We start from the raw sequence: 27,185 nt of genomic DNA on the forward strand, positions 1-27,185 counted from the left end.
TAAGAGAAAGGGCAGCTGGGCCTGGGGGACCACTACCACCAATGCGCGGAGAACAGTAGTGCCCCGAATGTCTGGCTGCGCTGTTATTTATTGGATACAAGGCAGAAGGGGCAGGGTAAAGAATGTGAGTCACCTCCAATGATAGGTAAGGTCACGTGGGTCACGTGTCCACTGGACAGGGGGCCCTTCCCTGCCTGGCAGCCGAGGCAGAGAGGGAGAGGAGACAGAGAGAAAGACAGCTTATGCCATTATTTCCGCATATCAGGGACTATTAGTATTTTTACTAATTTACTACTGCTATCTAGAAGGCAGAGCCAGGTGTACAGGATGAAACATGAAGGCGGACTAGGAGCGTGACCACTGAAGCACAGCATCACAGGGAGACGGTTAGGCCTCCGGATAACTGCAGGCGAGCCTGACTGATGTCAGGCCCTCCACAAGAGGTGGAGGAGCAGAGTCTTCTCTAAACTCCCCCGGGGAAAGGGAGACCCCCCCCCCCCCCGCCCTTTCCTGGTCTGCTAAGTATCGGGTGTTGTTCCTTGACACCTTTTGCTACTGCTGGACCACGATCCGCCTGGTAACAGGCATCTTCCCAGACGCTGGCATCACCGCTAGACCAAGGAGCCCTCTGGTGGCCCGGTCCGGGCATAACAGAAGGCTCGCACTCTTGTCTTCTGGTCACACCTCACTATGTCCCCTCAGCTCCTATCTCTGTATGGCCTGGTTTTTCCTACACTATGATTATAGAGCGAGGATTATCATAATATTGGAATAAAAAGCAATTGCTACAAACTAATGATTAATGATATTCATATATAATCATATCTAAGATCTATATCTGGCATAACTATTCTTGTTTTATATTTTATTATACTGGAACAGCTCGTGTCCTCTGTCTCTTGCCTCGGTGCCTGGGTGGCTTGCCACCCACATAATCCCAGCACTTTGGGAGGCTGAGGTGGGAGAATCACCTGAGGTCAGGAGTTTCAGACCAGCCTGGACAACATAGTGAAAACCCATCTGTAGTAAACATATAAAAATTAGCTGGGCATGGTGGTGTGTGCCTGTAATCCCAGCCACTTGGGAGGCTGAGGCAGGAGAATCATTTGAACCCAGAAGATGGAGGTTGCAGTGAGCTGAGATCACATCCAGCCTGGGTGACAGAGTGATATTCTGTCTCAAAAACATAGTAATAGGAATAATAAAGGAAAAGTGCAAAAATTCAAACAACTTAACAGAAACTGGGCAAAAGAGCTGAACCGGCCCTCCACAGAAGAGGAAATGTGGAGGAATGGCTAATGAAAACATGAAGAGGGGCTCAGCCTAACAGGGGGAGATATCACGTGACAACCACCAGACGGGCAAAAATCCCACAACCCAATCCATGCCAGCGTTGGGGAGAATGGAGAGAAGCAGGAACAACAGGCACTGCTAACGCTTGTGAAGTATATTTCTGCTATGCTTGTATATGAAAGAGTGTGTGTTGTGGGTTATGAGGAAAATTACATTTTTACCTGGGATGAAATTTTAAAATTTGAAAGCTACTGACCAGAAGAAACTTGCGCTGTGTACAAAAGAAATGCCCAAGAACGTTCCCAACAAAACACAGTCCTAAGGGCCCCAACCTGGCCAAACACTCATCCACGGGAAGATGAAGACATTTCCCATGCTCCCCTCAGACGACGGGAGACCATGCAGCAATGAAAATGAGCCATGTCAGTGTGGGTGGGTCTCAGGGAGAGAATGGAGGACAAAAATAGACACAGAGCAGGTGCTCAGAGCCATGCAGTGCAGGAGCAGCCACGCAGGAGAATTCCCTCACGTCAAAGTTCAAAACTACAGCCGAGGCAACAGAGCAAGACCCTGCCTCAAAAAGAAAACAGAAAGTTCAAAAACTAAATGGCATATCTTTTAGGGATGTACACACACGGTGAAAGAAACATACTATGAAGGAAAGTGTGCAAATAATAAAGACTAAAGCAGGAAATGATTCCCTCCGTAGGAGAAGGGAAGGGACTGGGACTCAGGCAGGGCCTCCAGGGAGCATCCAAAGCTATGTCTCTTCAGATTCTACTCCCTAAACTTGGTGGAGGTCCTCTGTGTCCAATGTGTCAATATTCTTTATACCTTAACCATACTGTACAAATGCTTTATTTCTATTCAATATTTAGAAGACAGTTATAAACAAGATGCATTCAATAGCATGGTGGCAGATGAACATCAGGAAGGAACATCCATGAGCTTCCATCCACGGAACCTCACCATGGATACGCTTGTGATCAAGGGCCTGGTCTCCCCTCAAGACACGGTCACAGATCAGAGGCCACACCATCCTAGCAGTGGAGCAGGACCAGCTGGGACAGGGTCCTTCTGTGACACCTGCTGCATCACCAGGCTGGGTGAACGGACACAATTGCCAGAACTCACAGAATAGAAGTATCAGCACCGAAACCTCACAGGAAAAATGGTAAGTTCTAAGTTTCTCCATTAATAGTAACTCTCAGATTAATCTCTGTCATCCATCGCTTCTCCAAGAAATGACTTTTTAGGGTGATGTGCCAGGCGCCATGTTGGAGGGCTGGTGGTAGCGGCTTGGGGAGGTGCTCACTCTGTCGGTCTCACTCTCTCACACGCTTCCCCTGGCTCCCTTCGTTCCCCCCCACCCCACTTGGCCTGCGTGCTGGAGGGTGTGCGAGGGAGTGGGAGGATGTCGGGGGGTGGGGGGAGGCGTTCCGGTCCCCAAGAGACCCGCGGAGGGAGACGGAGGCTGTGAGGGACTCTGGGAAGCCATGGACGTCGACAGGCTCCAGGAGGCGCTGGAAGATTTTGAGAAGAGGCAAAAAAGAAAGTCTGTCCTGTCCTGGATCAGTTCCTTTGTCATGTAGCCAAGACTGGAGAAACAGATTCAGTGGTCCCAATTTAAAGGCTATTTTATTTTCAAACTGGAGAAAGTGATAGATGATTTCAGAACTTCAGCTCCTGCGCCAAGAGGTCCTCCCAACCCTAAAGTCGAATATATTCCCTTTGATGAAACAAAGGGAAGAATACTGAAAACTGTCACTGGATTTAACCGTATCCCTTTTACTATTCAGCGACTATGTGAATTGTTAACAGATCCAAGGAGAAACTATACAGGAACAGACAAATTTCTCAGAGGAGTAGAAAAGAACGTGATGGTTGTTAGCTGTGTTTATCCTTCTTCAGAGAAAAACAATTCCAATAGTTTAAATCGAATGAATGGTGTGATGTTTCCTGGAAATGCACCAAGCTATACTGAGAGGTCTAATATAAATGGGCCTGGGACACCCAGGCCACGTAATCGACCAAAGGTTTCTCTGTCAGCCCCCATGACAACAAATGGGTGGCCTGAGAGCACAGACAGCAAAGAGGCAAATTTGCAGCAAAATGAAGAGAAAACTCACAGTGACTCTTCGACATCTGAATCAGAAGTTTCCTCAGTGAGCCCTTTGAGAAATAAACATCCAGATGAAGATGCTGTGGAAGCTGAGGGGCATGAGGTAAAAAGACTCACGTTTGACAAAAAGGCGAAGTCGGAGAAACAGCCAGTCAAGAGACTTGCAGCGAAATTTCTTCAGTTATGGTAGAAGAAACAGAAGCATCACCTTCATCTCACGATAAAGACAAAGAAAGCCGTGGTACCCGGCAGCGCGTTCAGAAGAAGATGAAGATGAAGAGGAAGAAGAAGGGATTGAGAGACCATCTGTAAAAGGGAGGAGTAAGGAGATCCTCAAATTCTTGCATTCATTGTTTTCGTGAAAGAATTGTACATCATGGAACTCCTTGTAATGTCGACGCTGGGCTTTTCTCCCACCTGTATGCAGTTGCTGCTGAATTTCAGGGGATGTGATTTGAACTACAGAACATCAGAATTCACAAAACTTAACTGTGGAGGTATTTTGAATATAAAATTTAAGTACAACAACATTTGCTTATTTTTAGAGTCTTTTATGACATCAAGAGAAATGGTCCCAGAAAGAAAAAACCAAGAAAAAGAATCTGATGATGCCTCAACTGTGAATGAAGAGACTTCTGAGGAAAATAATGAAATGGAGGAATCTGATGTGTCTCAAGCTGAGAAAGATTTACTACATTCTGAAGGTAGTGAAAACGAAGGCCCTGAAAGTAGTGGTTCTTCTGACTGCCGTGAAACAGAAGAATTAGTAGGATCCAATTCCAGTAAAACTGGAGAGATTCTTTCAGAATCATCCATGGATAATGATGACGAAGCCACAGAAGTCACCGATGAACCACTGGAACAAGACTATTTAGAAACATTTACATGCAGTATTTTACACACAGTTCTGGTTTTAACACTGTATAAAACTTTTATGTAAAAAAGTGCACCTTTAGTTTTACAAGTAAAGCAGGTTGTAAAATAAAGTACTTTATGGATAATTCCTGAAAGAGTTGTACATGTAAGAACTGTGAATATCAGCTCCTCTGGGTCCTGCTTACCTTACCGCTGATTTCTCTTTCTTTCTTTCTTTCTTTCTTTCTTTCTTTCTTTGCTCTGGGCAAATCAGTGGTTTGTGTATAGATTTTTTTTTTTTAATTTAGGATTAAAGTTTTTAAACTGGAAAGTAATTATAATTTTGAACAGTTTTTTGAGATTATCACATTTAGTTTATACATATGCAAGAAGCTTTTTGTCTTGTGTCTTTCTGATAGCTCCAGCAGTTTTCATATTTTGGTCATAGTTTCAACATTTTAACATGTGAATAATAGAGTTTCATGCTGGTTTCCAGATTTTGTTGTTCGGATACATACAATAGAACCTTAAGTTTTATATATATATATATATTATTCTAAGGGGGAAAATGTTATATTTTTCTGTTTGTATAAGAGATAAATACAGTGGATACTTTTTCTATTGGTAATGACTGAGTTCACCTCTTTCAGAAGACATTTTCTTTCTCTTCTCAGTAACTGAAATAAAATCTGGCCTTTGTGAAACCCTGGAAATACCACAACCCTCAACTAGAAACACCAATACCAGCTCCTCCACGAGTTTCCAGCTCCACAACCTAAGACATCAGAGGCAGCATTGGTTCCTCACGTAGAGTCCAGCTCCGGGACCCTCATATTTGAACTGCAGGGCCATCTCATCCCTGGATCTCCAGCTGCACCACACTCAAATTAGAACAACATCAGCTCCTCCCCAGGTCTCCACCTGCACAGCCCTCGAATGGGAACGTCAGCTCCTCCCCGGGTCTCCAGCTGCAGGGCCCTAAAACTAGAACATCAGCTCCCGCCTGGGTCGCCAGCAGCACCACCCTCAAACTGGAACATCAGATCCCCATGGGTCTCCAGCTGCAGGGCCCTCAAACTGGAACATCAGCTCCCCACCAGATCTCCAGCTGCACGGACCTCAAACTGGAACATCAGCTCCCCGCCGGGTCTCCAGCTGCACTGCCTGCAAACTGGAACATGAGCTCCCTGCCGGGTCTCCAGCTGCATGGCCCTCAAACTGGAACATCAGCTCCCCACCAGATTGCCAGCTGCACGGCCCTCAAACTGGAATATCAGCTCCACCCCGGGGCTCCAGGTGCACAGCCCTCAACCTGCAACATCAGCTCCCCACTGGGTCTCCAGATGAACGGCCCTCAACCTGCAACATCAGCTCCCCACCGGGTCTCCAGATGCATGGCCCTCAAACTGGAACATCGGCTCCCCACCGGGTCTCCAGCTGCATGGCCTTAAACTGGAACATCAGCTCCGAAACCCTCAAACAGGAACATCAGCTCCCCACAGGGTCTCCAGCTGCACAGCCCTCAAATTGCAACATCACTTCCCCCCTGCATGTCCAGCTGCACCGCCTCAAACTGCAACATCAGCTCCCCGCTGGATCTCCAGCAGCATGGCCCTCAACCTGGAACATCAGCTCCCCCCAACCCGGGTCTCCAGCTCCACAGCCCTCAACCTGCAACACTGGCTACCCACTGGGTCTCCAGATGCATGGCCCTCAAACTGGAACATCAGCTCCACCCCCGGTATCCAGCTGCACAGCCCTCAAACTGGAACATCAGCTCCCTGCCGGGTCTCCAGGTGCACGGCCCTCAAACTGGAACATCAGCTCCCTGCCGGGTATCCAGCTGCACGGCCCTCAAACTGGAACATCAGCTCCCCACCAGGTCTCCAGCTGCACGGCCCTCATACTGGAACATCAGCTCCCCACCAGATCTCCAGCTGCACGGCTCTCAAACAGGAACATCAGCTCCCCACAGGATCTCCAGCTGCACGGCTCTCAAACAGGAACATCAGCTCCCCACCAGATCTCCAGCTGCACGGCTCTCAAACAGGAACATCAGCTCCCCACAGGATCTCCAGCTGCACGGCTCTCAAACAGGAACATCAGCTCCCCACAGGGTCTCCAGCTGCACGGCCCTCAACCTGCAACACTGGCTCCCCACCGGGTCTCCAGATGCATGGCCCTCAAACTGCAACATCAGTTCCCCCCGGGCATACAGCTGCATGGCCTTAAACTGGAACATCAGCTCCCCGCCCAGGTCTCCAGATGCATGGCCCTCAAACTGGAACATCAGTTCCCTGCCGGGTCTCCAGCTGCACGGCCCTCAAACTGGAACATCAGCTCCCTGCCAGGTCTCCAGCTGCATGGCCCTCAAATTGCAACATCAGCTCCCATCAGAGCCTCCAGCTGCATGGCCATCAAACTGGAACATCAGCTCCCCCGCGGGTCTCCAGCTGCACAGACCTCAAACTTGAACATCAGCTCCCCGCCGGGTCATCAACTGCATGGCCCTCAAACTGGAACATCAGCTCCACCCCTGGGTCTCCAGTAGCACGGCCCTACAACTGGAACATCAGCTTCCCCCTGGGTCTCCGGCTGCACAGCCCTACAACCGGAACATCAGCTCCCTGCCGGGTCTCCAGCTGCACGGCCCTCAAACTGGAACATCAGCTCCCCGCTGAGTTCAAACTATTCCAGTTTGAGGGTCGTGCAGCTGGAGACCCGGCGGGGAGCTGATGTTCCAGTCTGAGGGCCGTGCAGCTGGAGACCCGGTGGGGAGCTGAACTTCCAGTTTGAGGGCCATGCAGCTGGATACCCGGTGGGGAGCTGAAGTTCCAGTTTGAGGGCCGTGAAGCTGGAGACCCGGTGGGGAGCTGAAGTTCCAGTTTGAGGGCCGTGAAGCTGGAGACCCGGTGGGGAGCTGATGTTCCAGTTTGAGGGCCATGCAGCTGGAGACCCGGTGGGGAGCTGATGTTCCAGTCTGAGGGCCGTGCAGCTGGAGACCCGATGGGGAGCTGAACTTCCAGTTTGAGGGCCATGCAGCTGGATACCCGGTGGGGAGCTGAAGTTCCAGTTTGAGGGCCGTGAAGCTGGAGACCCGGTGGGGAGCTGATGTTCCAGTTTGAGGCCCGTGCAGCTGGAGACTCGGGGGTAGCCGATGTTGCAGTTTGAGGGCCGTGCAGCTGGAGACCCGGGTGGGAACCGATGTTCCAGTTTGGGAGCCATGCAGCTGGAGGCACTGCGGGGAGCAGATGTTCCAGTTTGATGTTCCTCCCTGGGTCTCCAGCTGCACGGCCATCAAACTGGAACATCAGCTCCCCGGCCCTCAAACCGGAACATCAGCTCCCCGCCGGATCTCCAGCTGCACAGCTGTCAACATCAGCTCCTCCCCGAGTCCTCAGCTGCACGACCCTCAAGTTAGAACATCAGCTTCTCCCCAAGTCTTCAGCTGCGTGACCCTCAATCTAGAACATCAGTTCCTCTACAGGTCTGCAGCTGCAAGACCCTCAATCTAGAACGTCAGCTCCTCCCTGAGTCTCCAGCTGAAACACCCTCAAAACGAACAACATCAGCTCCTCCCCAAGTCTTCAGCTGCACGACGCTCAATCTAGAACATCAGCTCCTGTCTGGTTCTCCAGCTGCATGACCCTCAAACTACAACCTCAGCTCTTCCCCGAGTCTTCTGCTGCATGACCCTCAATCTAGAACATAAGCTCCTCTCTCGGTGTCCACCTGTAGTGACCTCAAATTAGAACGTCAGCTCCTCCCAGAGTCTTCAGCTGCATGACCCTCAATCTTTAACATCAGCTCCTCTCCGGGTCTGCAGCTGCATGACCCTAAAAATACACGAACAGCTCCTCCCTGAATCTTCAGCTGTACGACCCTCAAACTACAACATCAGCTCCTGTCTGCATCTCTAGCTGCAGGGCCCTCAAACTAGAATATCAGCTCCTCCCCGATTCTTCGCCTGCATGACCCTCAAACTAGAACATCAGCTCCTGTACAGATTTCCAACTGTAGGGCCCTCAAACTAGAACATCAGCTCCTCCCCAAGTCAGCAGCTGCAAGACCCTCAAATTACCACCTCAGCTCCTCCCGGAGTCTTCAGCTGCACGACCCTCAATCTCGAAGATCAGATACTCTCCGGGTCTTCAGCTGTAGGGCCCTCAAACTATAACATCAGCTCCTCTCCAAGTATTCAGCTGCACGACCCTCAATCTCGAACATCAGCTCCTCTTCAGGTCTGCAGCTGTAGGGCCCTCAATCTAGAACATCAGCTCCTCCCTGAGTCTTCTGCTGCACGACCCTCAAACTAGAATCTCAGCTCCTCCCGAGTCTTCAGCTGCACGACCCTCAAACTAGAACCTCAGCTCCTCCCTGAGTCTTCAGCTGCATGACCCTTAATCTAGAACATCAGCTCCTCCCCGAGTCTTCAGCTGCACGACCCTCAATCTAGAACATCAGCTCCTCTCCAGGTTTGCAGCTGCAAGACCATCAAACTACAACATCAGCTCCTCTCCAGGTCTGCAGCTGCAAGACCCTCAAACTAGAACATCAGTTCCTCCCCGAGTCTTCATCTGCATGACCCTCAAACTAGAACATCAGCTCCTCTCCAGGTCTCCAGCTGCACGACCCTCAAAGTAGAACATCAGCTCCTCTCCGGGTCTGCAGCTGCAAGATCCTCAAACTAGAACATCAGCTCCTCTCCAGGTCTGCAGCTGCAAGACCATCAATCTAGAACATCAGCTCCTCTCCAAGTGTGCAGCTGCACGACCCTCAATCTAGAACATCAGCTCCTCTCCAGGTCTGCAGCTGCAAGAACCTCAAACTAGAACATTAGCTCCTCTCCAGGTCTCCAGCTGCACGACCCTCAAACTAGAACATCAGCTCCTCTCCAGGTCTGCAGCTCCACGACCCTCAATCTAGAACATCAGCTCCTCCCCGGGTCTTCAGCTGCATGACCCTCAATCTAGAACATCAGCTCCTCTCTGACTCTGCAGCTGGAAGATCCACTAACTAGAACATCAGCTCCTGTCTGGGTCTCCAGCTCCATGACCCTTAATCAAGATTATCAGCTCCTCCCTGAGTCCCCAGCTGAAAGACCCTCAACACGAACAACATCAGCTCCTCCCAAAGTCCTCAACTGCATGACCCTCGAACTACAACATCAGCTCCTCCCCGAGTCTTCAGCTGCATGACCCTCTATCTAGAACATCAGCTCCTCTCCAGGTCTGCAGCTGCAAGAACCTAAAATTAGAACATCAGCTCCTCTCTTGGTCTGCAGCTGGAAGATCCACTAGCTAGAACATCAGCTCCTGCCTGAGTCTCCAGCTCCATGAACCTCAGTCAAGATTGTCAGCTCCTCCCTGAGTCTCCAGCTGAAAGACCCTCAACACGAACAACATCAGCTCCTCCCGAAGTCCTCAACTGCATGACCCTCAAACTACAACATCAGCTCCACCCCGAGTCTTCAGCTGCAGGACTCTCAATCTAGAACATCAGCTCCTCTCCAGGTCTGCAGCTGCACGACCCTCAGTCTAGAACATCAGCTCCTCCCCAGGTCTGCAGCTGCACGACCCTCAATCTAGAACATCAGCTCCTCTACAGGTCTGCAGTTGCAAGACCCTCAAACTAGAACATCAGCTCCTCTCCGGATCTGCAGCTGCTAGACACTCAAACTAGAACATCAACTTCTGTCCAGGTCTCCAGTTCCGTGACCCTAAATCTAGAACATCAGCTCCTCCGAGTCTCCAACTGAAAGACCCTCAACGCGAACAACTAAAGCTCCTCCCCAAGTCTTCAGCTGCACGACCCTCAATCTAGAACATCAGCTCCTCTACAGGTCTGCAGCTGCACGACCCTCAAACTAGAACATCAGCTCCTCTCCAAGTGTGAAGCTGCACGACCCTCAATCTAGAACATCAGCTCCTCTCCAGGTCTGCAGCTGCAAGAACCTCAAACTAGAACATTAGCTCCTCTCCAGGTCTCCAGCTGCACGACCCTCAAACTAGAACATCAGCTCCTCCCCGGGTCTGCAGCTGCACGACACTCAAACTAGAACATCAGCTCCTCTCCAGGTCTGCAGCTGGGAGACCCTCAAACTAGAACATCAGCTCCTCCCCGGGTCTGCAGGTGCAAGACCCTCAATCTAGAACATCAGCTCCTCTCCAGGTCTGCAGCTGCAAGAACCTAAAACTAGAACATTACCTTCTCTCCAGGTCTCCAGTTCTATCACCCTAATTCTAGAACATCAGCTCCTCCCTGAGTCTCCAACTGAAAGACCCTCAATGCAACAACATCAGCTCCTCCCCAAGTCTTCAGCTGCAAGACCCTCAAACTAGAACATCAGCTCCTCCCCGGGTCTGCAGCTGCAAGACCCTCAATCTAGAACATCAGCTCCTCTCCAGGTCTGCAGCTGCAAGACCCTCAATCTAGAACATCAGCTCCTCTCCGGGTCTGCAGCTGCATGACCCTCAATCTAGAATATCAGCTCCTCTCCAGGTCTGCAGCTGCACGACCCTCAATCTAGAACATCAGCTCCTCCCCGGGTCTTCAGCTGCATGACCCTCAAACTAGAACATCAGCTCCTCTCCGGGTCTGCAGCTGCACGACCCTCAATCTAGAACATCAGCTCCTCTCCGGGTCTGCAGCTGCATGACCCTCAATCTAGAACATCAGCTCCTCTCCGGGTCTGCAGCTGCATGACCCTCAATCTAGAACATCAGCTCCTCTCCGGGTCTGCAGCTGCATGACCCTCAATCTAGAACATCAGCTCCTCCCCGGGTCTTCAGCTGCATGACCCTCAAACTAGAACATCAGCTCCTCTCCAGGTCTGCAGCTGCACGACCCTCAATCTAGAACATCAGCTCCTCCCCGGGTCTTCAGCTGCATGACCCTCAAACTAGAACATCAGCTCCTCTCCAGGTCTGCAGCTGCACGACCCTCAATCTAGAACATCAGCTCCTCTCCGGGTCTGCAGCTGCATGACACTCAAACTAGAACATCAGCTCCTCCCCGGGTCTTCAGCTGCATGACCCTCAAACTAGAATATCAGCTCCTCTCCAGGTCTGCAGCTGCACGACCCTCAAACTAGAACATCAGCTCCTCTCCGGGTCTGCAGCTGCATGACACTCAATCTAGAACATCAGCTCCTCCCCGGGTCTGCAGGTGCAAGACCCTCAATCTAGAACATCAGCTCCTCTCCAGGTCTGCAGCTGCAAGAACCTAAAACTAGAACATTACCTTCTCTCCATGTCTCCAGTTCTATCACCCTAATTCTAGAACATCAGCTCCTCCCTGAGTCTCCAACTGAAAGACCCTCAACGCAACAACATCAGCTCCTCCCCAAGTCTTCAGCTGCAAGACCCTCAAACTAGAACATCAGCTCCTCCCCGGGTCTGCAGCTGCAAGACCCTTAATCTAGAACATCAGCTCCTCTCCAGGTCTGCAGCTGCAAGACCCTCAATCTAGAACATCAGCTCCTCTCCGGGTCTGCAGCTGCATGACCCTCAATCTAGAACATCGCTCCTCTCCAGGTCTGCAGCTGCACGACCCTCAATCTAGAACATCAGCGCCTCCCCGGGTCTTCAGCTGCATGACCCTCAAACTAGAACATCAGCTCCTCTCCAGGTCTGCAGCTGCACGACCCTCAATCTAGAACATCAGCTCCTCCCCGGGTCTTCAGCTGCATGACCCTCAAACTAGAACATCAGCTCCTCTCCAGGTCTGCAGCTGCACGACCCTCAATCTAGAACATCAGCTCCTCTCCGGGTCTGCAGCTGCATGACACTCAAACTAGAACATCAGCTCCTCCCCGGGTCTTCAGCTGCACGACCCTCAAACTAGAACATCAGCTCCTCTCCAGGTCTGCAGCTGCACGACCCTCAATCTAGAACATCAGCTCCTCCCCGGGTCTTCAGCTGCATGACCCTCAAACTAGAACATCAGCTCCTCTCCAGGTCTGCAGCTGCACGACCCTCAATCTAGAACATCAGCTCCTCCCCGGGTCTTCAGCTGCATGACCCTCAAACTAGAACATCAGCTCCTCTCCAGGTCTGCAGCTGCACGACACTCAAACTAGAACATCAGCTCCTCTCCAGGTCTGCAGCTGGGAGACCCTCAAACTAGAACATCAGCTCCTCCCCGGGTCTGCAGGTGCACAACCCTCAATCTAGAACATCAGCTCCTCTCCAGGTCTGCAGCTGCAAGAACCTAAAACTAGAACATTACCTTCTCTCCAGGTCTCCAGTTCTATCACCCTAATTCTAGAACATCAGCTCCTCCCTGAGTCTCCAACTGAAAGACCCTCAATGCAACAACATCAGCTCCTCCCCAAGTCTTCAGCTGCAAGACCCTCAAACTAGAACATCAGCTCCTCCCCGGGTCTGCAGCTGCACGACCCTCAATCTAGAACATCAGCTCCTCTCCAGGTCTGCAGCTGCAAGACCCTCAATCTAGAACATCAGCTCCTCTCCGGGTCTGCAGCTGCACGACCCTCAATCTAGAACATCAGCTCCTCTCCGGGTCTGCAGCTGCACGACCCTCAATCTAGAACATCAGCTCCTCCCCGGGTCTTCAGCTGCATGACCCTCAAACTAGAACATCAGCTCCTCTCCAGGTCTGCAGCTGCACGACCCTCAATCTAGAACATCAGCTCCTCCCCGGGTCTTCAGCTGCACGACCCTCAAACTAGAACATCAGCTCCTCTCCAGGTCTGCAGCTGCACGACCCTCAATCTAGAACATCAGCTCCTCCCCGGGTCTTCAGCTGCATGACCCTCAAACTAGAACATCAGCTCCTCTCCAGGTCTGCAGCTGCACGACCCTCAATCTAGAACATCAGCTCCTCTCCGGGTCTGCAGCTGCATGACCCTCAAACTAGAACATCAGCTCCTCCCCGGGTCTTCAGCTGCATGACCCTCAATCTAGAACATCAGCTCCTCTCCAGGTCTGCAGCTGCACGACCCTCAATCTAGAACATCAGCTCCTCTCCGGGTCTGCAGCTGCATGACCCTCAAACTAGAACATCAGCTCCTCCCCGGGTCTTCAGCTGCATGACCCTCAATCTAGAACATCAGCTCCTCTCCAGGTCTGCAGCTGCACGACCCTCAATCTAGAACATCAGCTCCTCTCCGGGTCTGCAGCTGCATGACCCTCAAACTAGAACATCAGCTCCTCCCCGGGTCTTCAGCTGCATGACCCTCAAACTAGAACATCAGCTCCTCTCCAGGTCTGCAGCTGCACGACCCTCAATCTAGAACATCAGCTCCTCTCCGGGTCTGCATCTGCACGACCCTCAAATGAGAACATCAGCTCCTCCCCGGGTTTGCAGGTGCACGACACTCAATCTAGAACATCAGCTCCTCTCCGGGTCTGCAGGTGCACGACCCTCAATCTAGAACATCAGCTCCTCTCCAGGTCTGCAGCTGCACGACCCTCAATCTAGAACATCAGCTCCTCTCCGGGTCTGCAGCTGCATGACCCTCAAACTAGAACATCAGCTCCTCCCCGGGTCTTCAGCTGCATGACCCTCAAACTAGAACATCAGCTCCTCTCCAGGTCTGCAGCTGCACGACCCTCAATCTAGAACATCAGCTCCTCCCCGGGTCTGCAGCTGCACGACCCTCAATCTAGAACATCAGCTCCTCTCCAGGTCTGCAGCTGCACGACCCTCAATCTAGAACATCAGCTCCTCCCCGGGTCTGCAGCTGCACGACCCTCAATCTAGAACATCAGCTCCTCTCCAGGTCTGCAGCTGCATGACACTCAAACTAGAACATCAGCTCCTCCCCGGGTCTGCAGCTGCATGACACTCAAACTAGAACATTAGCTCCTCCCCAGGTCTGCAGCTGCAGGACCCTCAAGGTAGAACATCAGCTCTTCCCCGAGCTAAAACACCTCTCCCACCTGGATCTCCAGCTCCACGAGTCTCACAGAACAGCCACACTGGCTCCTTCGTTGTCTTCAGCTCCACAACCTAAGACATCAGTGGGAGCACCGGCTCCTCCCTGGACCTCCAGCTCAACGACTCTCATAGACTTAAAAGGCAGCACCTGCTCCTCCCCAAGGCTCCATCTCCACCACCCTCAGATTTGAACAGCGGTAGCACCACCTCCTCTCCAGGTCTTCAGCCCCACGTCCCTCCCTGAACAATCCCTTCTCATGAAATTCAGCAGTCAAGAAATCTGCAGCGGAAGTAAATGAATAAATGTTTTGTTTTCAAATTGATATCTCTTTTATGTTCATGAGTTAACTTTTCTACTTTCCATTAGCCTTGCAATCTACTTATGTCCAAGGTGAAACAGAAACACACCATTTGAAATCACGTTTAAAAACTTAGTAATGTTTTTCAATAAAATCATCACACAGCTGTAGACACGATCTTATTTCTCTCTGCCTGTGCAGAAGTCTTATGAAAATTCAAACTATGAATTTACTTTGTTGAGATTCCCAGAATACACATTAATCCCAACTGTTACTCCCCTCCTTAAAATCTTTTAACACATTCCCATCACCTGAGCATAAATGCCAGCTCCCATCCACAGCCCAAAGTGCCCAGCACGGCCCTGCCCTTTGCCCTGGTCTATGGTCTCCCCTCTTAAATGCCAGCACCATCCACAGCCCACACTGCCCAGCACGGCCCTGCCCTCTGCCCTGCCCTCTGCTGTGGCCTAAGGTCTCTCCCCTGTGCCGTTCCCTTCCTGACGGACAGGCCTCTGTCCGTTCCTCAAACCACACAGGCTCAGGCCTGACTCCAGGCCTTTGCGCTTCTGTGCCCTCTGCCTAGGGTGCCTTTCCCGGGTTCTGCATCCTCCTCTCAACCCGCTGAGCTCCAGCCTGCTGGTCGCCCGTCAGGTGGATGAACACACGGTGTCCTCTCGCCCCACCAGCTTTTGCACAGGCTCTTCTCTGTGCCAGACACAAACCCTCTATCGGGGTTTACTCTCTAAATACCATTCATCCTTGGAGTCTCCACTGAAATATCGCTCCCTGCCCACCCCCCTCACTTGGACTTAACCTTGGTTAGGTTGCCAACCCCCGTCTCCTGACTCCGGGAAGCTAGATGCTCTCCTAGCACTCGGAACTTGCCCATCGCCACATTTGCACACCCGTGGTTACTGGGTTAGGTTGGCGCACAAGTCATCGCGGGTTTTGCCATTACTATTAATGAACTGCAGCAACGGCTCCTCCCCGTTTCTTTTTTTTTTTTTTTTGCCATCACTTTTAATGACTGCTGCACCAACCTATTAGAATCATTTATATTTATCCATCCATCATCTGCCTTCCCCTCTAGAAAGGAAGCTCCATGAGAATAGAGGCCAAATCTACTCAAATCACTCCACCTTCCCAGCACATTGTTTGTCAATAATCATTTACCAACTGACTGATAGAGAAATGCCTTCCCTGTTGCTGGGATGAGGCACATGACACGCCCCTTTGAAAGTCAATTCCATGGACAGTTAGCATTTGCTCTTCACTCCTGCACCCATGGCGTGGCTGGGCTTAGGCTGATCTAGTCTGGCCTTGACTCCAGGCTAAGCATGGGAACCATGCCTGCTCCACATGCCTCTCATCCCACAGCCAGAGCGGCCGTTCCCTGGGGCACGTGCATCTCATGGGGAAAATCAAGAACCTTAGAGGGCAGGCCTGGCAGTGCCCACACATTCCAGGCTTCTGCTTGTGCCGTGTCTGTGAAAATCTCGTTGGCAGAAGCAAGTCACCCAGCCACGAGCAACACCTATGGGATGGATAAGTCCATCCACCCTCCCTCGGGCCCTGGAAAGGTTGTGGCTATGTCATACTCTTACGGGGGGAGTGAAAAATTGAGGCCCAACATTAAATCACCCAGGCAAGAAATGTCAGCCTCTGTCCCCACGCTGGAATCATTCTTCACCAGCAGGTTTGCCTGAATTCCCTTTGCAATGGTGTCTGCAGGTTTAGCCCAATGCTGGTCCCCGTGGAGGACACAGAAGCCTCAATGGGCCTCCGTCTGTTGGGAAGAACAAGATATTAGCTTGGCGCAAAACCACCGCAAGCCCCAGGGGGCCCTTGTGCCATGAGACAGGAGAGGGGCAGAGAACTGTGGGAACTCAGGAAAGCTCACATCCCCAGCCCCTCCCGTGCATCCCCAGCCCCTCCGCTGTGACCCCATCACCAGCCCTCTCCCCTGCTTGCCCCATCTCTGCTTTCTTTTTTTCATTTTCTTTCTTTCCTTGTTTTTGAGACAGGGTCTGGCTGTGTCACTCAGGCTGGAGTGCAATGGCACGATCTCAGCTTACTGCAACCTTCACCTCCTGGGCTGAAGCAATTCTCCCTCCTCAGCCTCCCCAGTGGCTGGGACTACAGGTGCACGCCACCATACCCAGCTAATTTTTTTTTTTTTTTTTTGTAGAGACAGGATTTGCCATGTTGCCCAGGCTGGTCTCAAATTCCTGAGCTCAAGTAATCCTCCCACCTCAGCCTCCCAAAGTGCTGGGATTACAGGCATGAGCCACCGAGTCCAACCTACTTTATTTTTCTCTACAGTACTTGGAACCTTCTAATGTACTAAGGACACGTGTATTTTCTTTCTTTTTTGTCTTCCCTAGAACAGGAGCTTAATGTGGGCAGGTATTTTTGTTGATCTCATTTATCACCCTCTCCCCAGTGCCTGGAACAGGGTCTGGCACATGAATGGTGTGTTCTAAATAAATATTTTTAATAGATAAATAAATGAAATATCCTACAAAAGAAAGCTATATCTGGAACTCACCCATCAACAGAACCTAAAAGCCAAAGACCTTGAGCCTGTCTCTGCCTCTGAACACACCCAACCCCGGAGGAGCCAGCAGAGGAAAAAGAGGAACAAAGGCGGGGAAGGGAGCAGGTGGTGCCCACCAAGTAAGGAACCCTGAGGCTTAGGCCGAGCCTGAGCTGGAGAAGGGACTCATCTAGGAACTGGGTATGAGATTAAAGTTTAGATTTGTCTGGCCTGGATTCTGTAACACCTAAACAAGAGTTATTCTATTCTTTTTTTTTGAGATGGAGTCTCACTGTCCCCCAGGCTGCAGTGCAGTGGCGCAATCTCAGCTCACTGCAACCTCTGCCTCCCAGGTTCAAGTGATTCTCATGCCTCAGCCTCCCGAGTAGCTGGGATTACAGGCACACACCACCATTCCCGGCTAATTTTGTATTTTTAGTAGAGATAGAGTTTCACCATGTTGGCCCCCTGGCTCACGCCTGTAATCCCAGCACTTTTGGAGGCTGAGGTGGGTGGATCACGAGGTCAGGAGATTGAGACCATCCTGGCTAACACGGTGAAACCCCGTCTCTACTAAAAATACAAAAAATTAGCTGGGCGTGGTGGCAGGTGCCTGTAGTCCCAGCTACTCAGGAGGCTGAGGCAGGAGAATTGCTTGAACTCCAGATGCAGAGGTTGCAGTGAGCCAAGATCAATGCCACTGCACTCCAGCCTGGGTGACAGGGCAAGCCTTCATCTCAAAAACAAACAAACAAACAAACAAAAAACCTTCAAACGAATGTAAGAATTATTATTTTTTAAAGTACAACTTTAAAAATGCCCCTTACAAATACATCAGTGTTATATTAAGGGAAACCCACTTCAGAAGCACAAAGTTAATTTCTTATAATTCCAAGAAATATGTGAATGTTAAAAAAAACCCAAACACCCGAAAAGGGATCAATCTCAAGATAGTTTGTAACATTTTATTGCAAAAAGAAGGGCAGAGAACAGTCTTCTTCATACCTGTTCACCGCAGTAATTTTTAGCAGCTCTCCTGTGCAAAGAAGTCTCATCAATCAATCAGCATACGGGCCACAAATACCTTCTCAGTGCGGTTTCACCTACAATACAAGCACTCAGAAGCACAAATTTAACTGAAGTGAGAAACCAGGCCATTTTGTAGCTTCAGTTTTTCTACCAGTAATATATTAATTTCTTGAAATAGCCTAATAATTTAGTTCTACTATCAAAACAGAAGGCCAATCTGGGAGAACAATTATTATACAAGTCAAACTAATTTCAATCATATTAGTATAGGAATTCATATTAGTATAGGCTAATAATTCATATTAGTAGAGGCGGGAGGATCGCTTGAGCCTAGGAGTTTGAGACCAGCCTGGGCAAGACAGTGAGACTCCATCTCTAATTTTTTTTTTTAAATAAAGAACTTCAGAGAGGAGAAGGAAGCGGATTGATATGTGTCTATCCAAGGACAAATTTTGTGTGCCTGTACATACAACACAACTATGAACCTTCCTTCACGCAGCTCACAATCTAGTAGCGAGAGGAAAGTACAAAAACATGAGCCCCCACGATGAGGAAAAAGGCGCATATCAGAGAAAAGAAAAATGCTGCGATGATCCAATGGCAGGAGCAGCGTGCATCCACTTTCTTTGTTTTTTTGAGATGGGGTTTCGCTCTGTCTCCCAGGCTGGAGTGCCGTGGCTTGATCTCAGCTCAATGCAGCCTCAACCTCCCAGGCTGAAGTGATCTTCCCATCTCAGCCTCCCAAGTAGCTAGAACTACAGGCGTGCACCACTACACGTTTACTTTTTGTAGAAACAGGGTCTCACAATGTTGCCAAGGCTGGCATCCTGAAGGGCGGGTGGGGCTTCATCCTACAGAGATGAAAGGCAGAAGAAGCTCAGAGCCCAAAGCAAAGGGGTGGAGGACAAGGGCGTCTTCAGAACAGAGTGGCTCGGCTGAGACATCCAGTAGGATGCCACCAGGCAGAGGTGTGGTGGAAAAACACAGGGCCACAGGGTGAATGCTCACATGTGAGGAGCAAACCACCACAGAACACAACAGAAACACGGTGTACTAAATCAGGCTTCAAATCGCAGCCCTGCAACTTCAGAGCTACCACAGGTAACCCAGAAAGGGAGCACGGACAGCACCGCCCACTGCCTGAGGCTATGAGATGGACCAGAAACCTGTGCTTACTAACAACCTGCCTTATTCCAGAAGGAATTCAGGAAACACAAAGACACTCACAGTACAGCAAAATAAAGTAAATGTGAATCATGTTGGCTGAGGAGAAAGTGAAGAGTCTAAGACTATGTCATAAAGTTTACCTCTACTCTAAACTCTCATTACTGGTGAGCCACCAATCTGACTTTAAGTTTTCTAGCAGCTAAATTGAAGAGGAAAATGTAATCAGGTAAAGGTTTATAAGATGCAAACAAAACAGGACAGCCACCACAGTTGCTGAGAACACGCGCAGCTCCAGCTCCAGGAGAAACAGGGTGGCCATCTCCTGGGGCTGCCCCGCAGCAGGCATGTGAGCCCCAAAGCCAGCGTCTCTCAGGGTGAACGGTGACTATGGGCTTCATGGGGCCACACACCTCCAGTACAAGCTGAGGAAATCTCCCAGGGCAATTCAAGGAACAGGGTCTCACAATGTTGTCCAGGCTGGTCTCAAACGATGCCCCTGCCTCGGCCTCCCAAAGTGTTGGGAGGTCAGACGTGAGCCACTGCATCTGGCCCCGCACGCACTTTATAGAGGAGGGCTTTGCATCCTGTACAGCGGGTGGGGCTTCATCCTGCAGAGATGAAAGGCAGAGGAAGCTCAGAGCCCAAGGTAAAGGGGGGCGCCTAACAAAAGCGACTCCATTGGGACCACGGTGAGAGGGTCCCCATACACAGCTTGGGTTAAGTCAGACACTGATTTCAAAGTGTCTCAGGAATGGTGGACTCAGCACCTGTCAGGCAATTCTCTCTCTCAAGCAGGCTCCTGGTAGATATTTAGTAGCAGCTGAAATCAAGATTATGTTCTGACTGACACTTGCTGATGGTTAAAGAGCTATATACACTTTGAGGACCAGCTGAACTTGGGCAGAACTAACACCCTCTGGTGAAAATACGGGAACCCAAACACACGAGTCAGAGCAGGAGGTGTCTCCCCCACCCCCAAACAATAACGCTGACCTTGGATTTGGGTTAAGTGCCTAGCCCAGGGGTGTGAGTGTTCAGGAAGTGGAAACCATCATCACCATCATCAGGTAATGGAAAACTATCAAAGCTTTGAGCTGGCTTGTTAGCCAAGAATAGTAGTAGTGTATTAGCTACTACTAATACTCACAGCTGACAATTACTGAGCACTTGCTCTGTGCCAGGAATCACGGAAGCACCTCGCATGCATTTCCTCAATACTCCCTCCCAGTAACGGCGAGGACACAAAACTGGTAGAGCCAGGACTGGAATCCAGGCAGGCCCCAAGGCACTCCAGTGGAGCCTGCCAAGGAGGGCAGGCTACCATGCTAATGAGGTCCAGTATTTGACCACCACTCCTAGTTGAGCAAGTTTAACAGAAAACCTAAAACTAAACTTAAAATCTAAAAATTTGAGCAAATGCATAAAAAGCAGCTGTTAAAATGGATCATAAATCTTGCATCACTCGCTGGAAAACCACTCAAAATAAACGTCTCTGAGACATGGCCTCTGAGGAGGGCACTCCGTGTGGCTCGTGTCACCCTGGTGACAAACCACGTGAACCTGGGTGGTCACCTGACCATATTGAACAGACGATGCACAGAGCCATTTGCATCCACTGTGGTCAACATTTAGGAAGTTTTAAGCTAAGATTTGCCAAATTGTAGCCTACTGGATTCCGGTTCTCTTGACATCTCTTTCTAGTAGCCATGTCTTGCACTTCCCGAGTATAAACGAACTGAGATGCAAATTAAAAAAGGGAGGATTTAAGAATAATGAAAAGAGAAAAATCAAGAAAGCACAATCACTAGTGTAGAGATAACAGAATTTCTGAATTCCCTGAAAACAATCTATATAAATGCATGTGAAATAATACACCAGCATCTGTGGCCCATACGTCACATATTAGGAACTGATAACATAAGGTAAACATGTTACTCTGAAAACACAAATCCTCACAAATCATTAGGCAGTAAGACTGAATCCAGCACCTCCCCCACCCACAGCGCAGTGAGGCAGTGTCTAGCAGCCGTAGTGCTCCCCGCGCCCCAGTTCAGTCTCTGGCAACATCAGATACTTCCCACTAATAACGAGGAGCCTTTCAACATTTTCACAACATCTCAAAACTGACCCCTTTTCTAGCTTAAATGGCACGGATCTGGAAAGGCAAACTACACACAGAATCAGAAAAGATGACTGCCCCTGAGGGATTACAGAAAAAGCAGCAGTCAGGTGTTCAATGAAGTAAAATGTATCCAATGATAGCTCAGGGGAGGGGGATCAATTGAGCTGAAACTGGCAAGAACGTAACTCCAGGGAGCTCACAACACGCAAGGACCCGGATTTCCCGCTGCCTGAACGCCCAATATTCGCACACTGATAAGAACGCCTCCCCATAACTCCCCTGCCAGCGCCTCCAACACCCCCAATCCTTTCCCCAGGAACCCAGTCCCAGTTTCTGCAGTTCCTGTAACAGCCACGTTCCCACACAAGTGCTGCCTGAGCTCCCCAAGCCCTCCAACAATCACCCCCCAGTGCCCTCGAAGGTCTATTCAGAGAAGTCACCAAGATGCAGTCACCCAGGAAATTCAAGGACCCCCAACTTACCAAAAGGCTTTCGGCTGGACAGAGCTAACCTTCCTATTCCCCTCCTAAACCTACAACCTAGTTTTCATTTCTCAAGAAGCCTTTCCCTGTGCTCACGCACGCCGTTGTTAGCTGGCTCGGTGAGGCACTCCAAGCAGTAACAGCGGTAGCCACAGAATAAACCAGAAGCATCTCCACCATGAAGCAGTAATAATAATTTGCCCTAATGATTCCTTTGTCCTTGGAAAATCAACTTCAGAAAGAAAGTTATCCACTGTGAGCAGGGCAGGCTCGCGGCTTCTTGGTCCGGAGACCCAGGTCCCACTGGCCCACTCACCCTTGGAGAGAGCTTGCCGAAGCTGGGTGTCCGATATCACTCCACTCCTCTCTATCAACCCTATAACATCAAGAAGACCAAACAAGCTGGCGATCGAAAGTTCAGGAAAAGCAAAACAAACGTCTCCTGTCAACCCTGCACCGACTCTGGAAGGCTCCCTCCTGGAACCTCCGCCTCTCCGGTCCCGCTGACGAGTACAGCGGAATCAAGGAAGTGCCCCAGGAGCCACGTCCAAGTGTGTTCTTCCCCTAAGAGGCCAATCATCTTTCTCTCTCTTTTCCCACCTCAATCCTTCCCTTCCTTCCCCTCCTGACCTGTCTGAATTCCCATTTGCACCAGTTTCCCTTTTTCACAGACAAGACAAGATTCCCTCAGATAACTAAGCCATTCCCTGGCCATGAGTTACTACAGTTTCGGTCATTCATTCAGTGGAAAAGCGACCAGGGACAGAAGGCGCCGCCATAAAGGTCACCTGGCCCGAGCAGACGCCAGGTCGCTGCTTCTTCCTTGGCTGCTGACATTTTAACAGCGGCCCAGACAGTCTGTTTCCGCTTTCCCCAAACAAGCACCCTGGAGACCCTCCCCCGACGGCTCGAGGCGAGAAACAGGGCCTGGCCCAGGAGCCGGTGGCCGCGACCTCGGGTCTGCAGTGGCGCCCTCTGCACCTTGGGAAGGGCCCGACGCACAGGACAGGGACCGGGCAGGAGGCAGGGGCGGCCCCAGGAGACCGGGCAGCGGACGGGGGAGACCGCGGGGGACCCGGAAGGGGATGGGGGCGGCCGCGGGGGTCGGGGCAGGGGATGGGGGCGGCCGCGTCGGTCGGGGTAGGGTTCGGGGGCGCCCGCGGGGGTCCGGGCAGGGGCGGGGGAGACGGCGGAGGTCGGGGCAGGGGACGGGGGAGGCCGCTGGGGACCCGGCAGGTGACGGGGGAGGCCGCGGGGCAACCGGCAGGGAACGGGGTTGGCCGCGGGGGTCGGGACACGGGTCCGGGGCAGCTGCGGGGGAGGCGGGAGGTGCCGGGGCGGTGCCAGGTGGCAGCTCTGGAAGACGTTCCACAGGAAGCTCTGGTCGGGCAGCGCCGCGCCCGCAGCAGGCCCAGGGCCGCCCAAGGCCGGGGCGGTAGGAGTAGGCGGCCAAGGGCCAAGGCGCGCGGCTGGGCTGAGGCACCTGCGGCCACGGGCGACCTCAGAGCGACTGTGCTTCCGCCTCTGCCGGGGGCAGGGCCAGGCGTTACCGCCGCTTCCGGGGGCGCAGGAAATGCGCGTTGTCCGGGATCCTCCGGCGCAGGCCACCTGCGCGCGGGGCCGGGAAGGCGCTTGGAGGAAATGTCCCGCGCCGCGACCCGGGACAGGCAGTGATGGAGCAGGGATTTCGTTTGCCTTTTAGTTCTTGTATAAAAAGAAGTTTTGACGTGAATGTGATTCACGCTAACAGTCGGAAACTCTGGGCGGGGCGCGGTAGCTCACACCTGGGATCCCTGCGCTTTGTGAGGCGGAGGCGGGCGGAGCTCTTGAGCCCAGCAGTGCGGACCAGCCTGGGCAGCGGGGCTAGACCCCATCCCTACAAAAATTACAGCAAGTAGTCGGGCGTGGTGGCCTCCTGTGGTCCCATGTACTCCGTGGGCTGAGGCGGGAGGATCGCCTGAGCCCGGGAGGTCGAGGCCGCAGGGAGCCGAGATCACTGCAGCTCCAGCCCGGTGGACAGCGAGACTCTGCAAAAAAAAAAAAAAAAGCAAGCAGGCCGGGTGCGGTGGCTGACGCGTGTAATCCCAGCACTTTGGGAGGCCGAGGCCGGTGGATCACCTGAAGTCAGGAGTTCGAGACCAACCTGGCCAATATGGAGAAACCCAGTATCTACTAAAAATACAAAATTAGCCGGGCGTGGTGGCGCACGCCTGTAATCCCAGCTACTCGGGACGCTGAGGCAGGAGAATTGCTTGAACCCGGGAGGCGGAGGTTGCAGTGAGCCGAGATCAGGCCATTGCACTCCAGGCCTGGGCAACAAGAGCAAAACTCCGTCTCAAAAAAAAAAAAAAAAAAAAAAAAAAAAAGGCAAAGCACAATTCGGGTGGGAAGGGCAGTGTGCAGCGTTCTCCGTTGTCTGTTCCGCCCCCAAAAGCTTCCCTCCTTTAGGTTTAACCTGCGCCCCCGCGCTCTGCATCAGCGCGGTCCCCGACCCCGTGCAGTTGGAAACACTGGGCGCCTCCCTGCCGGGCCCCTTCCCGCCCCTGTGGTGGTGCAGCCCTGCCTCCCGCAAGACAGCACTGCCTTCGTGCTGGACACAGTTCTATGGTGGAGCCTGGAGTGCCTGTAGCACAAATCCCGGAGTTGGGAAGTGCCCACCTTTGGGCCAGTGTGATCCCTGGGTCTTTCCCGGGGTGGTCTCATGCGGCCTTCCACTCCAGTCCTGTGTCCTGTGCCCCGGTTCAGAATACTACAATTATTCTCGTTATTTCATGGGGTTATTCCAGCTTTTCAGTTTCGTCAGTGCCTCATTCCATGAATGCTAACTTTTTTCATCCTCATAGTTCCTAGGGTTGTCTCTGAATTTTCACCCAGTTGCCTACCAAGATGTTGTCTGTGTCTAATGCAGGGGACGGTGCAGGTCTGAATATCTTACCCACAGCTCACCTTTTTGGTGCCTTTGATCCGTGTTAGGAATTATCCACATCTTCTCTCTGGGCAGTATTCTACTTTCTTTTTCTATTGACCCAATTATTTTACTTCTTTGGTGTGTCCTTTCTCCTAACACATACAGGTTCACTTTGAAACCTTGAAACCCACATTTACAAAAACATTTTCAATATGAAACATTGTTCCATGACTCATTACTGGAGTACCATCAACATTTACATTTCCAGACCACCCACTGCCCAGTGGTTTTCTTGGTCTCAGTACTCATGAAAACGGTCTGAAGGTTTGTTTTGGGTTCCTAAGTAGTAGACACACGCACAACACTGCCTGTCAGTTATTTCTTGGAAACTAAATCAGCCCTTCTGTTGCCATCCTATCATGCTTCAGGGGTGCCTGTGCTAGTTTTTAATTCTTTGTTCTAACACTTAAATGTTTGCTCAAACACCCATATTAATACTTCCTCTTAGTTTACAAAAGGATTTACTTTCTTACTGGTTGGGATGAAGCTGCTTGAGGTTGCCACCTGTTATTTTTCCTTCATTTATTGGACCATGTCATCCCATTACATGTCAGCCGTGGAGGTTTTCAAACTGTGGTCCCTGGACATGTTAAAAATGCAAATTCTCAGGCTGAACCAGGACTGAATTGGAAGATCTGGGGTAGGGTCCCCCTAGGACTGAATCAGAAGATCTGGGAGGGTCTGGTGCTGTGCACCCCGACATTCCCTCACTACCCCACTGCCTCTCCCTGCCCTGTGGTCACCACAGCAGCCGCCTCTGCAACCTTGACTATCAGCATGCAGGTCCCAGGGCTCGGGGGTCTCCTAACCCGTGCACCCCGACATCCCCCTCACTACCCCACCGCCTCTGCCTGGCTCTGCCTCTGCGTGGCTCCTCTCCTGCTGCCCCCAGAAGGTTTTTGTAAAGCCCGACTCAGGGCGTGCATGGCCTCTCCCTCTCCCACACATGGTTTCCCCATCCCCTCCACCTCAGCAAACACACAGCACATCCAGGAGCCACGTGGGACCACAGTGTCCCATGGCCGGTCCCCGAGATCCCTTGGATGTCTCACTCTGGTGAGCCCCTCGCTCCAGTGCCCTCCAGGAAGCCCCCGTCTCCCCATACAGAAGGGATCTCTTCCCTCCTGAGCCATCGGTGCCCGACCCTCCCTCTCCTCTGTCGCCCCATTTGTGGCAGGTCAGCCACACCCGTGAGCCCCGGAGCTCCGTGAAGGCCGTCACGGCTCCTTATGACGGCGCCCAAACAGTGCAGGCAGCCGGAAGCTGTTCCCTGATGAAAGAAAGGAAGAGGAAAGGAGGAGGGAGGGAAGAAGGCCTTTTCTTGTCCCGAGAGACTTCTGTAGGAATTTTTGGGTGATACTGAGCATGGTAGACCCAGGTCATCTTTCCATGAGAGGGGCCAGAGTACCGCAGGCTCAGCCGCGGTCAGGGGCTCAGGGCGCCGGGGAAGCATTCGCGTGGGCTCCCCCCACGGGCCGCCTTTGCCACCAAGACCCACTCTTCCAGCCAGGCCTTGGGCCGGCCCTGCTTTCCCTTCGGACAAGGTCTTCAGTCCACCGAGAGGATGGCCCACCTCCTGCCCCTGGGTCAGTGCGCAGCCCCAGGGAGGAGCTGTGTGAACCTGGGAGGTGCTGGGGAGCAAGGGTGCTCCACCAAGGGAGGCAGGAGGCCGGAGACCAGCCCGGCCCAGGAGGAGCCTGGCCAGGAGTCCCACCAAAGCCACTGGACCCGGGGAGCCTCCAGTGACCCAGCCTTGTAGGGTCAGCACTGTCCCTAGGACAGAGTCTGCTTCGCACACAGGTCTCGCTGTCTGTGGAGGCTGCAGGCCCCGATGCCTGGGCACACGGACTGACGGCAACCCTCGGGGTGGGAGGCCCCAGATGGGACTTCCTGGCCTGCCCGGGGTGGCGGGGGGGCGGGTGGGAGAGGACGGAGCGTCTGTGTGCATGTGTGAGAGCCTCAAGGACGGCATGTCTGTGAAGATGGCTTCACCCAGCCGCGGCTGCCTTCCGTGTGTGGGCAGCGGTGACGGAGCCGTGACCTCACGGGACAGCCTTTGCCGTGTGGTTTTCCCGCCTCTGGTCCCTTTCCTGGGCTGAGGATCCTGGCTCTGGGGCTCAAGGTGTGGGGTTCGCCAGCACCGGCTCCTGCCATAGACATCCTGGTGGCCCTGGCACAGGCCTGTCCTCCAGCATGGTTCCTAGACCCACCACGCAGGACTCCTAGGCCCCTGAGGGTTGGCAGGAGTGAGGCAGGCAGTCACCAACTGCCCTTGGGTGAGGCTGGTGGCCAGGGGGGGACCCAGCAGGTGCAAGCCAGGCGATCCCCAGCAGCCGCCGGAGCCCATGTCTTTCCCACCGCACAGCACAGCCAGGACATGGGGGTCAGGCCATTACTTACGCTTCTAGT

The 27,185-nt window shown here is 52.1% G+C and overlaps 1 protein-coding gene and 2 pseudogenes across 2 annotated transcripts, besides 3 other annotated features; 1 reads left to right on the forward strand and 2 right to left on the reverse strand.

Annotated features, from left to right (window-relative positions):
- LOC124909481 (uncharacterized) lies at positions 1-8,926 on the reverse strand (annotated as a pseudogene). The gene has a single exon (XR_007096243.1). The product of XR_007096243.1 is annotated as an uncharacterized LOC124909481 (transcript).
- Positions 1-26,748, reverse strand: LOC112268458 (keratinocyte proline-rich protein). The gene is made up of 7 exons (XM_047449440.1): positions 26,185-26,748; positions 25,829-26,046; positions 22,597-23,512; positions 19,615-19,812; positions 18,844-18,888; positions 18,014-18,111; positions 1-4,282 (listed from the first exon to the last, which is right to left on the reverse strand). The coding sequence occupies exons 1-6, from the start codon at positions 26,746-26,748 to the stop codon at positions 18,097-18,099; spliced, it is 1,956 nt and encodes a 651-aa protein (XP_047305396.1). The 3' UTR covers positions 1-4,282; positions 18,014-18,096.
- On the forward strand, positions 2,562-2,902 carry PPP4R2P4 (PPP4R2 pseudogene 4; annotated as a pseudogene).
- Positions 22,196-22,869: an enhancer, noted in NCBI's record as "H3K27ac hESC enhancer chr3:197380592-197381265 (GRCh37/hg19 assembly coordinates)". NCBI's record gives its function as "activates a minimal SCP1, AML or CMV promoter by ChIP-STARR-seq in primed H9 embryonic stem cells {active_cell/tissue: H9 hESC(primed)}" and the evidence as "EXISTENCE:reporter gene assay evidence [ECO:0000049][PMID:30033119]".
- Positions 24,228-24,277: a silencer, noted in NCBI's record as "silent region_15089". NCBI's record gives its function as "represses an Ori minimal core promoter by ATAC-STARR-seq in GM12878 lymphoblastoid cells {active_cell/tissue: GM12878}" and the evidence as "EXISTENCE:reporter gene assay evidence [ECO:0000049][PMID:35858748]".
- Positions 24,759-24,959: a silencer, noted in NCBI's record as "peak4995 fragment used in MPRA reporter construct". NCBI's record gives its function as "represses an SCP1 promoter by STARR-seq MPRAs in K562 erythroleukemia cells {active_cell/tissue: K562}" and the evidence as "EXISTENCE:reporter gene assay evidence [ECO:0000049][PMID:32103011]".
- Positions 26,749-27,185: the final 437 nt, after the last annotated feature.

The sequence above is a fragment of the Homo sapiens genome, chromosome 3 (genome assembly GCF_000001405.40).
Source record: "Homo sapiens chromosome 3, GRCh38.p14 Primary Assembly".
Taxonomy (NCBI): Eukaryota; Metazoa; Chordata; class Mammalia; order Primates; family Hominidae; genus Homo; species Homo sapiens.

Excerpts from the sequence above, each read along its gene's own strand:
- LOC112268458 (XM_047449440.1), bottom strand. The coding sequence starts at position 26,748 with ATGCCGTCCTTGAGGCTCTCACACATGCACACAGACGCTCCGTCCTCT. Across the intron at positions 26,047-26,184 it reads TGACCGCGGCTGAGCCTGCG|GGAACAGCTTCCGGCTGCCT; the intron begins GTACTCTGGCCC and ends TTCTTTCATCAG. Across the intron at positions 23,513-25,828 it reads GGAGCGAGGGGCTCACCAGA|AACTAAAAGGCAAACGAAAT; the intron begins GTGAGACATCCA and ends TTTTTATACAAG.